At 47.4% G+C, this 15,535-nt stretch overlaps 1 protein-coding gene across 1 annotated transcript in view, besides 5 other annotated features; it reads left to right on the top strand.

The window, feature by feature from the left end:
• Positions 6,179–6,238: an enhancer, noted in NCBI's record as "active region_5401". NCBI's record gives its function as "activates an Ori minimal core promoter by ATAC-STARR-seq in GM12878 lymphoblastoid cells {active_cell/tissue: GM12878}" and the evidence as "EXISTENCE:reporter gene assay evidence [ECO:0000049][PMID:35858748]".
• PANX1 (pannexin 1) overlaps positions 6,246–15,535 on the top strand; it is a 53,128-nt gene continuing 43,838 nt past the window's right edge. Inside the window, exon 1 of the mRNA NM_015368.4 lies at positions 6,246–6,898. Coding sequence (NP_056183.2) covers positions 6,718–6,898 — 181 coding nt within the window. The 5' untranslated portion in view covers positions 6,246–6,717. The remainder of the gene's footprint in view (positions 6,899–15,535) is intronic.
• Positions 6,469–6,538: a silencer, noted in NCBI's record as "silent region_3841". NCBI's record gives its function as "represses an Ori minimal core promoter by ATAC-STARR-seq in GM12878 lymphoblastoid cells {active_cell/tissue: GM12878}" and the evidence as "EXISTENCE:reporter gene assay evidence [ECO:0000049][PMID:35858748]".
• Positions 6,559–6,818: an enhancer, noted in NCBI's record as "active region_5402". NCBI's record gives its function as "activates an Ori minimal core promoter by ATAC-STARR-seq in GM12878 lymphoblastoid cells {active_cell/tissue: GM12878}" and the evidence as "EXISTENCE:reporter gene assay evidence [ECO:0000049][PMID:35858748]".
• Positions 10,638–11,137: an enhancer, noted in NCBI's record as "H3K4me1 hESC enhancer chr11:93866399-93866898 (GRCh37/hg19 assembly coordinates)". NCBI's record gives its function as "activates a minimal SCP1, AML or CMV promoter by ChIP-STARR-seq in naive H9 embryonic stem cells {active_cell/tissue: H9 hESC(naive)}" and the evidence as "EXISTENCE:reporter gene assay evidence [ECO:0000049][PMID:30033119]".
• Positions 13,688–13,982: an enhancer, noted in NCBI's record as "tiled region #4215; K562 Activating DNase matched - State 5:Enh". NCBI's record gives its function as "activates a minimal TATA promoter and a strong SV40 promoter by Sharpr-MPRA in K562 cells {active_cell/tissue: K562}" and the evidence as "EXISTENCE:reporter gene assay evidence [ECO:0000049][PMID:27701403]".

Consider the following 15,535-nt stretch of genomic DNA (forward strand, 5'->3'; position numbering starts at 1 on the left):
TAGCCAGGCCCCTCTATACTCTAATCAAGGAGACCCAGAGGACAAATACTCATCTAGTAGAATGGGAAGCAGGGGCAGAAACAGGCTTCAAAACCTTAAGGCTGGCCCTAGTACAAGCTCCAGCTTTAAGCCTTGCCACAGGACAAAACTTCTCTTTATACGTCATGGAGAGAGCAGGGATAGCTCTTGGAGTCCTTACTCAGACTCGTGGGACAACCCCACAACCAGTGGCATACCTAAGTAAGGAAATTGATGTAGTAGCAAAAGGCTGGCCTCACCATTTACAGGTAGTTGTGGCAGTGGCCGTCTCAGTGTCAGAGGCTATCAAAATAATACAAGGAAAAGATCTCACTGTCTGGACTACTCATGATGTAAATGGCATACTAGGTGCCAAAGGAAGTTTATGGCTATCAGACAACCGTCTACTTAGATACCACCTGCTACTCCTTGAGGGACTGGTGCTTCAAATATGTACGTGCATGGCCCTCAACCCTGCCACTTTTCTCCCAGATGATGGGGAACCAATTGAGCATGATTGCCAACAAATTATAGTCCAGACTTATGCTGCCCGAGATGATCTCTTAGAAGTCCCCTTAGCTAATCCTGACCTTAACCTATATACTGATAGAAGTTCATTTGTAGAAAATGGGATATGAAGGGCACGTTATGCCATAGTTAGTGATGTAACCAGAGTTGAAAGTAAGCCTCTTCCCCCAAGGACCAGCGCCCAGTTAGCAGAACTAGTAGCACTTACCTGAGCCTTAGAACTGGGAAAGGGAAAAAGAATAAATGTGTATACAAATAGCAAGTATGCTTATCTAATCCTACATGCTCATGCTGCAATATGGAAAGAAAGGGAGTTCCTAACCTCTGGGGGAACCCCCATTAAATACCACCAGGAAATTATGGAGTTATTACACGCAGTGCAAAACCCCAAGGAAGTGGCAGTCTTACACTGCCAAAGCCATCAGAAAGATGAGGGAGAAGAGGCAGAAGGAAACCGTCGGGCAGATGCTAAGGCCAAAATTGCTGCCAGGCAGAACCTCCCATTCCTGCAAAAAACTGGGTCTTTACCAACTTAACATACCACCCTCGTTTTGAAGGAAAAGACCCTTTCCGACTTCTAAATATGCAATCATTAGCCAACTTCCCCATCTCTGATAGGACCAAGAATACCCTAACAGGACATGCGATACAACTTTTGCGTTCTTACATTTCCAACCTCACCTATTACACAAGCAATGAAAAGCCCATACACAGCCCTGTAACTACAAATACCATCTTAACTTTCCAAGCCCCTTTATGCATCCAATGCAACCTGTTATCAGGTCTGCTCCTGGGGCACCTACTACCACATCAGTGTAATTACACCATACAACTTCAAGCCCCAACTGATCATAGTAACTTCCAAGTCACTCAAACAGCTCCATTCAGACGGCTTGTCCACGTCTCAGGGGCCCCCAAAATCATCACCTCCTCCCTGCTTAACAAACAGTCCAGGTTTTGTAATGGCAAACATACTCTCTGCATGACCATTCACCCCTGGACCCCCTGCAGCAGTATCCCCACCACTAGTGAATGCCATCTCATCCCCTCTTTCAATCGCTCTCTCGAATGGTTCCTAGTAGATACAAAATGGTTTTTTCTCCAATGGGAAAATAGAACACAGGGAGCCACTCAGTTTGCTCCCAACACCCCTTTCCAGCCACTCATAGCAGCTATCTTGGCAAGTATTCTAGGAGTATAGGAAAATGAAAACAATAAACTCACACACCTTTATAACATACACAACCAGTTCTGTCTACCCAGCCAAGGTATATTCTTCTTATGTGGAATGTTGAACTATATCTGCCACCCCACTAACTGGAAGGCACCTGCACCTTAGTATTTCTAAGTCCCGACATTAACATTTCCCCAGGAAATCAGACCCTATCAGTACCCCTCAAAGCTCAAGTCTGTTAGTGCAGAGCCATACAACTAATACCCCTACTTATGGGGTTAGGAATGGCTACTGCTACAGGAACCGGAATAGTCAGTTTATCTACTTCATTATCCTACTACCACACACTCTCAAAGGATTTCTCAGACAGTTTGCAAGAGATAACGAAATCTATCCTTATTCTACAATCCCAAATAGACTCTTTGGCAGCAGCGACTCTCCAAAACGGCCGAGGCCTAGACCTCCTCACTGCTGAGAAAGGAGGACTGTGCACCTTCTTAGGGGAAGAGTGTTGTTTTCACACTAACCATTCAGGGATAGTATGATATGCCACCTGGCGTTTACAGGAAAAGGCTTCCAAAATCAGACAATGCCTTTCAAACTCTTATACCAACCTCTGGAGTTGGGCAACATGGCTTCTCCCCTTTCTAGGTCCCATGGCAGCCATCTTACTATTACTTGCCTTCGGGCCCTGTATTTTTAAACTCCTTGTTAAATTTGTTTCCTCTAGGATCGAGGCCATCAAGCTACAGATGGTCTTACCAATGGAACCCCAAATGAGCTCAACTAACAACTTCTACCGAGGACCCCTGGACCGACCCGCTGGTCCTTTCACTGGCCTAAAGAGTTCCCCTCTGGAGGATACTACAACTGCAGGGCCCCTTCTTTGCTCCTATCCAGCAGGAAGTAGCTAGAGCAGTCATCACCCAATTCCCAACAGCAGTTGGGGTGTCCTGTTTAGAGGGGGGATTGAGAGGTGAAGCCAGCTGGGCTTCTGGGTCAGATGGGGACTTGGAGAAATTTTCTGTCTAGCTAGAGGATTGTAAACACACCAATCAGTGCTCTGTGTCTAGCTAAAGGTTTGTAAACGCACCAATCAGTACTCTGTAAAAACACAGCAACCAGCGCTCTGTGTCTACCTAAAGGTTTGTAAATGCACCAATCAGCACTCTGTAAAAATGCACCAATCGGTGCTCTGTGTGTAGCTAAAGTTTTGTAAATGCACCAATTATCACTCTGTGAAATGGACCAATCAGCGCTCTGTAAAATGGACCAATCAGCAAGATGTGGGCGGGGCCAAATAAGTGAATACAAGCTGGCCACCAGAGCGGCAAGCTGCTCAGCTTCCCTTCCATGCTGTGGAAGCTTTGTTCTTTTGTTCTTCACAATAAATCTTGCTGCTGCTCACTCTTTGGGTCCACACTACCTTTAAGAACAGTAACACTCAACACGAGGGCCCGTGGCTTCATTCTTGAAGTCAGTGAGACCAAGAACCCACCAGAAGGAATCAATTCCGGACACACTATTTTCCAACAAGTTCTCCATCTGGCTTCTATTTTAAATTCATTAAAAGTAGGATAACATCATATGGAATGTAAAAAATTGCCAAAACTGAGGGCAATTTATGCAACTGCTGAGATTCACTCCAGATCCTCAGAGGAACTTGCTATGTAATGAAAAAAGAGATACACAATCCATCATCCCATCACAGGAGGCAAAATGAACTAACTTCTAGGCCAGAGGAGAGAGTAACAAGGGAGGGAAGGATTCATTACAACTGGAGGATCCTGGAAGGCTTCCTAAAAAGGGGGCATTTGAGCCTAAAAAGGGGCCATTTGAGCCTATCGGATGATTAGCTTTTGGCAAGGAAAGAAGGGAAATGGCACCCATGATTTCCTGACTCCCAGAAAGCCCCTGTCCCAGCTCTGAATGTCCCAACTGACACATTCTCCCAGGCCCTACTTATTCTCTGCACCTCCCTTGGTATACCCCACTTTTCACAATAATCACTCTTTCTACCTTGCATTATAGTTAATTGTGTGCATGCCTTATTTCTCTTGCTAAGCCATAAGGTCTTTGAGGAAATGGAATCCATTCACTTCATTTCTGCTTCCCCATCCACTGAGCCCAGAACTGGCCCATCACCAGCCTCTAATATATGCCTGGAATGTATGGATAAATGAGTGTGAACTGGGCCAGTTTTAAAAAGTGTTCAGATTCCTTCAGACATTTATTTAATAATATGAATTAAAACATCAACTCTGTGTGAGGCATTTGTGCTAAGTGTTGAGGATAAAAGTGGTACACATGGGCATGGGCCTACCCTCAAGAAGCCGATCACATAAAGTGGTGGCAAACACTAAATAAATGAATAAATATTTGTTGAGTTGCAATGGTGACTATTTTTAAGAAGGAAAAATAGAGAACAATGACAGATGAAATGTACCTAGATTCACAAGGTGCCAGGCACTGGGCACTACCCACGTGTTAACTCATTTGGTCCTTATCACAGTCCTAAGAGGTACAACCTTTTTACAGATGAGAAAACTGAGACACAGGAGAGTCAAAGAACTCCCCAAGACTAATAGCTAGTAACTAGTGTGGCTAGTATTATGGGAGAATTTCACAAAGGGACCTAATCTAGTCTGTCTACTTAGGGAAGGCTTTCCCAGGGAAGTGACATCAAGCTGAGGCCAGAAGGGTGAATAAAGGTGGGCCAGGCAAAGAGGCCACTGTGGGGAGTGTTTTGGGTGGGAAGGCCTGGAGGAGGCCAAGGGCTTAGCTAACTTGAAGAACTGAAAGGAAAGCAGTGAAGCTGGTGGTGAGGTAGGCAGAGGCCATGCTAAGAAATTTGTATTTTATGCTAAAAACAATGTACACTTTAAGTAGAAAAGATGATCCGACTGGAGTTTTGAAAAGCTCATCCTGGCAGCTGTAGAGGAGAATGGAGGGGGACCCTGTCTCACATATTTCCTATATGTGGTTAGGAGACAGGATGGTGAGTTGAATTGGGTATTGGCAGTGCAGGTGGAGGGGTGTCAGATTTGCTATATTTAGGAGAGAGAAGCAAGAGAATTTGAAAATTGGTTATGGCAGCTGTGAGAAATGGAGTGTTGAAGATGGTGCTCCAGGATTCCGACTTGGGTGCACAGGTGGCTGGTGGTACATTTAGTAAGATGGGGAAGATGGAGTTCAGGTTTAAGGGGAAGATGAAGACTGAAGTCCTGGCCGTTATGAGTTTGAAGCCCTATGAGCCATCTACGCGGAGAGAGCTGTATACGCTCTTGGATGTGTGTTTAGCGGCCAGGCTGGGGTGGAGAGGTACATGTGGGAGTTGAGGCTTGTATCTGTGGACCCACAGAGAAGGGAGCCAAGCCCTGCCCCAAGGAGCCCTCATGTTTGCAGGTCCTGCCTGCTTCAAATGTTACTGGTGATAACCTACATGTCACATTTGACAGGGCTTCCAAACTAAGCCATCTAAGAAAGGTCTTATGATTCATGGCTTAGATCCTGTCCCTGAGTAAAAAATCTTACTGTGAGTCCTTCAAATCCTTTTGTCAGTTCCTCAAACTGCTGATGTACTGATTAGTATGTAAAATACTGACATTGAAAAGAACACTGACTTGTTTCTGAATCATATAAACTTTGATTTTCTTGTGCACAAAACATTTTAGCCTGTATGTTGTCATCTGCAGCCAGTGACTGTAACCTGTGTACCATACCCTCCGATGAAAAAAATCCCACCTCTGATATAAGGGGTCCTCCTCCCTTTTCCTAAACTTTCTTCTAAAACCCTTCCAACGTGTAACAAATTTTGAAACATGCCCAACTTTGCTGGTAAGTCTTCTTGGGTGGATCCTCACATTTAGCTTCCAATAAATCAAATTATTTCTACTTCAACAGCCTTAATTTCCGTGGACACTGGTCAGAGTATTTCCTCCTGTCTTTCCATCATCCACTTCCTATGAGCTGTTCAGAAGCAGCTCTCTGCAGCCCCAACACCCACCTACCTGCAGGCCCCCCTCTCTCTGCTGGCTCCCGGAACAAGGCTCTGATTGGGATGGCAGAGGAAAGAGAAACGGGACCAGCAGCGCTACTCAGGCCTCGAAACTCCACACTCACTACCGTTTCCGCGCCACCCTCTCACGCGGAGCTCCTGGAAGGGTCCAGCGCTCCCTCTGCAAGGCACCGTCGGTCTACACCGCTCGATTGGCCTTTTATGGCACTGACTGTTCTTTGAAGCTTTTGCAGCTCCTTCTAACCCGATTTCACCGTGTTGGAAATGTTGGGGGTGGGGCGTAAAGGGGGCCATCCCATCCACAGAAAGAGTCGCTTGCAGAAATGATTTTAAAACTCCCGGGTGCCAGGACGTGAGGAGAATCCGGCAGGGAGGGACGGGAGAATTTCCAAAGGTGCCGCTCAGTGGGAAAATCCCTTTGTCAGAGAGTGGCCCGAGGGGCGCGGAATGCAGCCGCGCCCACCCCGCCCCGCGTCACCGCGTCTTCCGGAAGCTCCACGCCCCTGGGTACTTGGTTTCCCCGCATGGTTCCGGAAGAGCGCGGCGCAGCTGGCTGTGAGCGCAGGGCTATCCCGGCGGCCGCTTCGGCAGCCAGGGCGGCGCGGAGGGGCAGGGCCAGAGGGAAGCGCTTTGTTCCGCGCGTGGTTCCCGCGCCTGGGGGTGCGCGGGAGAGGCGCGAATCCGAGTGCCGCGCGCGGCCCGGGGACTTGCACGGGCGTGCGGGGTGGAACCGCAGGAAGCGGAGCTCTCGGGTTCCCGCCCCGCCCCGCCCCGCCGGCGGCGGAGGCAGCGAGCGCGAGAGCCCAGCGGAGTCGCTGGGAGCCTGAGGCACCGAGACACAAAGGCAGGCGGGATGCGGGAGCAGGCAAAGGGAAAGCGAAAGCCGCGCGCCCGGCCGGTGACTGGGTGAAGGCGCCGCGCAGCTTTCCCGACGCCGGCTGTACCCGGACCTCCTGGTCGAGCCTGGCGCGCCGCAGCCATGGCCATCGCTCAACTGGCCACGGAGTACGTGTTCTCGGATTTCTTGCTGAAGGAGCCCACGGAGCCCAAGTTCAAGGGGCTGCGACTGGAGCTGGCTGTGGACAAGATGGTCACGTGCATTGCGGTGGGGCTGCCCCTGCTGCTCATCTCGCTGGCCTTCGCGCAGGAGATCTCGATTGGTAAGCCTCGCCCAGGACGGAGGGGAGTGGCCGCCCCGGTCTGGCCCGGTGAGCTGCGATTTTACGGCTCACAGGCCCGAGTCTGGGTACGCCCAGCTGTGATGGTCGTGAGCGTCAGGAAGGGCAGTGGCCCCAGTTTTATGGTCCAAAGCGTTCTTTGCCCAGGTGTTTCATTGGTACCCTGGTCTACTCTGCTCGCATCCCTACTCCTCAGTTCTTTTGTTCCTCATGCCCCTCTGATCGGACTGTGGCTTATAGTTTATGTTCCACCCTTAGAACTGGCACCTTGCCACCAGATTTGCCAAGAATAGCTGTGTCCCCGTTTTTCACCCCTGTCTCCTACATATTTGTCCAGCCGCCTAAAATTTTACACCAGAGAAGTTCCTGAGTGGCTACATGGAGGATGTGAAGACCGGTGCTCCATGAGAAGTGTGTTCTTTCAGTGTCTTACATATAATTGGTATTTGCTGAGATCTTAGCTCTCTAGGGTTGTGAATGATAGGAAATATCTGCACTTGGCAGGCATTAGAGGGATCCTCAACTTGGACGGTCTTACAAATGTGAGATGAACAAGTCCCCTTCCTGTAAATTATCATTTGAGCTTCATAACAGTTGTGTGAGATTGGAAAGTCTGGTGGTTTGGGCAGGATCACGTGGCTACGTGCCTTACCTTCCTCATCAGCTGTTCTGACTCTCCACACAGGAGAGAGTGTTTATGAACCAACAGGAAGGTAGCGCAGGAGGGTTAAATACAGTTCTGTGGCAGGGGAAGAGAGAGGACCCAGTGCGGCTGGACTTTGGGAAAACTTTTGTCAGAGGGTGGGTGGGATTTGGACAAGAAGGAGTAAGACCTTTGTTAAGGTTTTGAGATGGCAGAGAATGTTATATGTTCCTGGAAAGAGAGACACAGTGACTCTCCTAGCCAAGGCAGGAGGATAAGTCAGAGTTCCTGGAGTCTGAGAGTGAATATGGGCCTGGGTCAGCCTGGAACAGAAGAGTGTAGGCTGATGGTTTCAGAACTGTGAAGTTATTGTTTGAGCAGAGGACAGACTGGTTGAATGATGGTGGCATTTAGGGTCTGGGAAGAAGGTGAGAGGATGGGGCCTGGAGGGCTGGGTGCCAGAGAGCAAGGCATCGGCTGAGGTCTTGTGCACAGAGGGTGTGAAGAGTGGAAGAAAATGGGTGGGTGATTGCTGTGCGATCAAGGAGTAAATAAGCAGCACTTGAGTACCTAGTATTTAATAGGCCATGAACGGCAGTACTGGTCAAACGTGCTGCGGAGGTTGTATGTCTGGGTGAGTGGAGTGTGGTGTTGGTGGTGATGGGAATTGTGAAGTTGAGGGAATAGTTGATTAGGAAAGAATGACTATGAGTGTGATTTTGCAATCTGCAGCACTAAGTTGTTCAGCTTGGCAGGAAGTTGCCAAATTCATTGTGGAAAATAGTTTTTAGTTTTCCTGCTCTTTGCGCAGGCATAGTCATCGGGATGTTCTTTAAGTTTCCATTTGACAGTGGATTGAGGCTTCCAGCTGAAAGCAAAACCACCAAGTAGCATGAGTCCTGGAGATAATCTCTCCCTTTGGTCAATTCCTCCTTCAGTACTGGCTGTGTGCTGAACTCGGTGCTGACCTCCAAGGACCCGGGAGTAAAAGAGGCATGATCCCTGTCTTGGAGGTGCAAGTCTTGGGTACCTGGTTGGGACAGAAAGGCAGGAGGAAGGAGTTAGTCACCCTCTGTGACCAATCTCCACCTCTAGCACATGTACTAGAGGGACTCCTAAGGCACCTGTACCTGTAATGCCTTAGATACGTCTAAATTGGTGGGCTGTCTGAGAGGTATTTTTGGGGTATTGGGAGTGGTTTTAACTAGCAAGAGTTTGAGCTCATGCTGTGTGCATAGCACTGTTGTGTGCTGAGGGAGATGGGAAAGGATTTTGAGACCTTGTTCTTGCCCTGCCCTCTCCCTGCCCTGTGGCAGTTTACTATGCAGTTGGGCACTAGAAGGTATCTGTTAGCAGGTAAGTCATTCAGCTGTGTGTAATTCAGCACCCAGCCAGGTGTTGAGCTATGAGCTCCAGGCTGGTGAAGGTTGGCAGGCACTTGGGTGAGGAGCTGTCAAGCAGACTCCCATGTTTTCTGAAGTGTTTTCAGGAGTTCCAGGGGAGGACAGACATGTGGGATGAAGCTAACAGGACCAGGGAAGACCTATTAGATTAGGTATACATTTAGATAAAACCAGAAGAAGGGCTTTTGAGAAGAGGGGAGAGGTACATAGATTAATACATGGAGTTGGTACAGTGGGAGGGATCATGTCATGCAGCATTTAATTTTGTGTAGTTAGTAGTATGCACTCAGCCAAAAACAAACCAAAAAAAAGAACAGCAATAAAGGGAGAATGAAGTAATTGAAATGGAGCTGGCACTTTGCCCACCATATTGGCCAGTGAACTCAGGCCCCGGGAAGACACTGAGATAAGGCCTGCAGACTTAAAACATGGCTTCATCCTTCCTCTGTTGATAATTACTGCTTCCCTCTCTGGTGCTTGGAATACTCTTTTGTTGAACTTAACACAGAGCTTTATAACCTGTCTATGCATGTTTTGCATGGAGATTGAAACTACTCTATAAACATTTGTTGTGAATTAAAGGTGATAGCTTTTGGCATCATCAGACCTTGCTAATTGATTGTTATGTGCATGATGCTGTACCTTGGCAATGGGGTGTCAGACACACGTAGGACATAAGAATCTTTCCTCTGGAAGCACGGTCTAGTAGAGAAGTTGAACGCATAACCCTCCTAATGCAGGATTCATGGAACCTGGGCAGTGTCAGAAGTGTGTACTAAAGCCTGATGCTGTGGAAAGGCAGAAGGAGGGGTTTCTTCTGACTCATGAACAGTGAGAGTTTCAGGGCAGAGTTGGCCCCTGAGGCAGGATTCCAAGTGTGTGGAGCAGTGTTGGCTGAAGCTGAGACGTGTGAGACAACATGTGGCTGCTGGAGCTTTAGTGGCACCGTCACATGGAGAGGTGGGAGCCAAAGTAAGGGTCCAGGGGCTCCACATGAAAGAAGGCATAGCAAATCCCATTGTTTTCCTGTTTGTGTTGGGGGGGTGGTGTGTGTGTGTATAAAATTAGAAACGAGAAAATCAGCTGTAATTACATGTTTTTCCTTTTTCCACCTGTATGATAAACTAGTATATATAAGAATTCATCTCTTTTGATATAAAATCCCCTCAAGCGTAAAATAAATTATATTTTCCAGTTACTTTCCAAAAATTAAATTTTCTGTCAACTGTTGTTTGATAAAATAGGGTTCAAGTTGAAACTTTGTGGCGATTTTTCCTTTAAATAAATGATTTTTTACTTTAAAGAAAATCTATTAAATCAAGAAATGTGCATGGATTGTGCTTTAGATTTAAGAGCAGGTTCTCTGTGGGGGTGGGAGTGTTGTAGGTTAGAGAGAGGGAATGTCCTCATATGATAAAATACTTGGCTTCATATTAAAGGCTTCCGTTTGGTCTTTGGCCTTTTCTCTTAGTAGTTCAGCCCACTGGGCTCCTCTCAGAAAAGAGGGACTGAGCCTGCCTGGGCCACAGAGACCCATGGGCATAGCAGCAGGCTGATCTTTATCAAGCCCTGCTGGGTGCCAGCATGGTGGCTGCAGGTGAAGCGTCCACTCCTCAGAGGTTCTGGCCCCTTCCCTCCCACAGCAGTTCACGCAGGTCCTGCATGGTAGGCACTGGTGTGGGGCTACCTGGGCTGGTGGGGACTGTGTTGGGGACAGAGAGCAGAAGGGACTCTGCCTTGCTCATTCACCAGATCTTGGTCTGGCTGCCCACAATCACAGGTTGAGGGTCACTGCAGAAGTGATGTGGTCTGGAGGGGCATGGCAAGGCTGGTGCCATGGTCAAGGTGGAGGCAACTTTGGTAGTCTTTGCGGCAGCCACTCATTGGTCCAGATGTGCCCTGTGATAGTGAGAATTACAAGCAGAAACCCTCCTGAGGGAGTGGCAAGGAGACTCTTCTGAGTTGTGCCTGGGAGCATTTTGAAGGCTTTTGGACAGTGAGATACTAAGGATTGAATGTAAGAACTAAAATGTGCACCTGTCTGGTTAGGCCTGATACTTCTAGTCAGCCTTTCTAAAATACTGCAGGTGTGCCTCCTCTGAGATTCAGCTGGGTAGGGGGAAAATAAGTGACACACAGCAAAAGACAGTTTAATTGTGAGTTTGGGCTAGAAAGGCTGTGTGGTGGGAGCCAGAGAAGGGAGAATCAGTGGTTTCACCAGCCCTCATTTTTCCTTCCTCTTGTCTTCTACCATGTCTTGCCCTCAACAAGTGCTCCATAGGAATTTAGTGAAGGAAGTGCCAGAGCACACTAGGGAACTCTCCCAGAGTGGCTGTGCTGAGGGAATGGACGGAGTGTTCTGGATAAGGGTCCCAGTTGCTTGGAAGTGCGCCCTCTGAGTGCCATTTAATGATACAAGTGCTGTCCTGGGTCAGGCCTGTCCTGGCCACCTCCCAGACACCTGCCTCTGATGATAGCAGTAAAGGATGCACATCGTCATGATAGGTAAGTTGTCCCACTTGATTTATAAGCTCAGGTTATATTGCGTGTGCCTCAGATTCTTTTTTATGTTATTTTTGTGATGAGGAAGAATCTGTGTTCAGAGTGCAGAATGGTGTACTGTGGAAGAAGGATGAGTGTGATCTGTGTGGCTTGGGTACCCTATGGGTGTCACCTTGTGCAAGCTGCTGGGAGACAGTGCCTTGAGGCCCTTCATTTCTAACACATCTACTCTCAGATGCCTCTAGAAGTGCTGCACATTTCATTGATGGGGGGAGAGGTTTAGGAAATGGCTGGGCGACAGCTTTGTGTAGAATATAAGCATGATTGCATGACGTGACCTTCAAGCTCTGAAATTCTAGAAGTATTTCTCTAAAGTTATGAATTCCCTTAGTGTGCTGCAGTTATGGACTGAATGTTTGTGTCTCCCAACCGCAAAATTCATATGTCGAAGTCCTGATCCCCAATGTGATGCTAATTGGAGATCCCTTTGGGAGGTAATTAGGTTTGGATGAGATTATGAGAGTGGGACCTTCATGATGGGATGCCCTTAGAAAAAGAAGAAATCCCTCTTTCTCTCCCCCCTCCCTCTTCCTCTCCCCCCTCCCTCTTCCTCCTTCTCTCCCTCTTTCCCTCTCTCTCCCACTACCCCCCTTCCTCTCTTCTTCCCTCTTCCTCTCTCCACAAGTGCGGCCACAAGGAAAGGTGTGTGAGCACGCTGGGAGAAGGGGGCCATCTGCAAACTAGGAAAAGAGCTCTCACCAGACACCGAATCTGCTGGTACCTTGATCTTGAACTTCCCAGGCTGTGAGAAAATAACTGTTGTTTAAGCCACCCAGTCTGTGGGATTTTCTTACAGCAGCCTGGTTGAAGACAAAACTATCAACAGACCAGACTCTGAATGGGATTCATGTTTAAGGGGTCTTTTGACAGGGCCTCCTGTGCCCTGCGCTTAGGGCTGTACAAGGCCTGAGGCGTCAGGGGCTGCTTTGATTCCCTGGTGCCTCATGTGGCACATATCCCCTGGGAAGGAGAGCCCGTGTCTCCTGCCAGGATGTTTCTGGCTGGCTGGACCAGGTGGGGAGCTGGGGCAGCCAGTAGTCTACTAGGGAAAGGGTGTCTGGTCAGCCGGGGACCCTGCCTCCCTCACCCACTGACCTCTTAGTGGGCAGCCACCGTTCTGGGTAGAGAAGGACTTAGTCTTTCTGAGTTAGCACTGCTCTTTTGCTATCATTACAGGGCAGGCATTGGGCCAGCCCCAGTGAGTCAAAGGATAGATATAACTGCAGCTGCTTCCAATATAGTTTGCTTGGAGTTCCCCTTTCATTTCCTGCAACTGAGTCAGCGGCTGGGTGGCTTAAGTTATCTGCTCTGTTGTGGCTGAATTTAGACCTGTCTTTGGGAATATCTTCAGGCTGCTTTTTAGCATGTACCAGCTGGCAAAGCAGATCGATTCTTTTCAGGGTTGTCTATCAGAGTGGGCCAATATTTAGGGTCTCATGGCATAGGTCCTATAATAGAACATCTTCAACTCACACTAAACCAAAGAGCCAAGAGAGACTCCTAACCCCTCCAGAAGGATGCATGCTGTCCAGAGAGTCTACTGTTGGATACATGTTTTACTTTGTTAATATTTTTCTTGTACAAGTAGTAGCTAAATACATCATCATGGTAAAGGATTCATAAATCTCTTTCACTATGTGCTGAAGGTAGGTGGACACTTTGTGCAGCCTTATTGCTGTACTTTGTCTGCATTAGCATAACGTGTACACCTTATTTTATTTTTTAAAACAAATCGAGTCATACCATAGTGGCTTGCTTTTTCTCACTTAGTATGTTTGGAGAGCTTTCCGTGCCAGTACATAGGTGTCACCTCACTGTTTTATAATAGAACAGTATTCCATAGCTTAGAATATACTTACAATTCATCTAAGCAGTCCCCTAATGATGGACATTTACTTTCTTTCAAAATTTCTACTCACACATAAAGCTTGTTTGCATGAAAATCTTCGTAAATATTTCTCTCCTCCCAGCATTAAAAGGAAAGGAGACTAGTCGCAGCAGTATCAGTTTCCAGAAGGATGACATCATTTTCCGAATAGTTTTGCATTCCTGCGTTCCTATTTGAAATAAGTGGAAGAAAAAAAAAAACCACTGCCCTGTACACTATCCAGCTCTGACTCCCTCAAAATGTGACTGCATTAGAAGTTTGGAAGAAGCATTTTGATGTGCTCTTGGTTTTAAGAAAGAAAGGGCCTCCTTCAGGGGGTAGAATTGCAACTTTAAGTAGAACTTCATGATACATGTTCTCCTAACACTGTAAGTTTCCTTCCTAACATTTACCATAACTTGAAGTTAGGTAATTACTTGCATACTTATCTGTTGAATACTGTAAGTTCATTTAGGGCAGGGACCATGTGTCCTTAAAACTTGATACATATCGGCCGGGCGCGGTGACTCATGCTTGTAATCCCAGCACTTTGGGAGGCCGACGTGGGCGGATCACGAGGTCAGGAGATCGAGACCACGGTGAAACCCTGTCTCTACTAAAAATACAAAAAATTAGCCAGGTGTGGTGGCGGGCGCCTGTAGTCCCAGCTACTCAGGAGGCTGAGGCAGGAGAATGGCGTGAACCCGGGAGGCGGAGCTTGCAGTGAGCCGAGATCGCGCCACTGCACTCCAGCCTGGGCGACAGAGCGAGACTCCGTCTCAAAAAAAAAGAAAAAAACTTGATACATAGAAGTATTAGGCAGCTCTCACATTGCTATGAAGAAATACCAGAGACTGGGTTATTTTTAAAGAAAAGTTTATGTGGCTCATGGTTTTGTGGGCTGTACAGGAAACCTAGTGGCTTCTGCTTGGCTTCTGGGGAGGCCTCGGGAAACACAGTCATGGCGGAAGGCAAACAGGGAGCAGGCACGTCTTATATGGCAGGAGCAGGAGCAAGAGAGAATGGGGGGAGGTGCTACACATTTCTAGTGGCTCACACCTGTAATCCCAGCACTTTGGGAGGCCAAGGCGAGCGGATCATGAGGTCAAGAGATCGAGACCATCCTGGCCAACGTGATGAAACTCCGTCTCTACTTAAAATACAAAAATTAGCTGGGTGTGGTGGCGCATGCCTGTAGTCCCAGCTACTTGGGAGGCTGAGACAGGAGAATCGCTTGAACGCGGGAGGCAGAGGTTGCAGTGAGCTGAGATCATGCCACTGTACTCCAGCCTGGCGACAGAGCGAGACTCCTTCTCAAAATATATAGACAGATAGATAAAACCTGAAAATAGGCCTTAGGACCTTCATGGACTCTAGGTTTGGATTAGCAACATCCCTTTAAAAAACCATGCAAACACCTTTTTTCTGCAGCTGGTTGCTTTCTTGGATTGCTTCCTTGTCAAACCCCTAACTGAGGCAGCGAGAGCTTGGTCCAAAGTGGAGAAAGGGAGGCAATTTGGGGGCATTTGCCCTGGCTAAGCTAGGAACTCTGGGCGAGGCAGGCCCCGCTGCATGCTGTGGGGTTTCTGGGGGCAGCAGGGAGACATTAGTTACTTGGGGAGAAGGGGGCCTAAAGAGAATCTACCATCTGCTTGGTACCAGGCACACCTAGTTCTGTGGGGGGTGAAAGGGGTGGTGGGGAGGGGACGCTGTTGTTTTTTAATAAATTCTCTATAAAGCTCACACTCCTTTTTAAAATATAAATATTTATATATGTATATTATATCATTATAAAGATAAAACTTACTGTAGAAAATATGGAAAATACAGAAGAGAAAATAGCAGTACATCTATAATACTACCAGGGATAACTACTATTCTTGAAAAACCAAACACTAAGTCAAGGCCATGTTACCATGTTCCTAAATTGTTGTACATGATTTTTTTTGTTGGCAGTGACATGGAATGTTGTGCACGTGTCAAAATTTAACTGTTTCACAAGTTTTGTAATATAAATAGCATTGTGAAGAACACTCCTGTACATAATAAACCACCTCTCTAAAGATCTCAGTATTTCAAGTGATTGTATAATTCTAATTACAAGGTCAAAGTATACATAGACATTTTTAAGATTTGACTGGTGT

Source organism: Homo sapiens, chromosome 11 (assembly GCF_000001405.40).
Source record: "Homo sapiens chromosome 11, GRCh38.p14 Primary Assembly".
In the NCBI taxonomy this organism is placed as follows: Eukaryota; Metazoa; Chordata; class Mammalia; order Primates; family Hominidae; genus Homo; species Homo sapiens.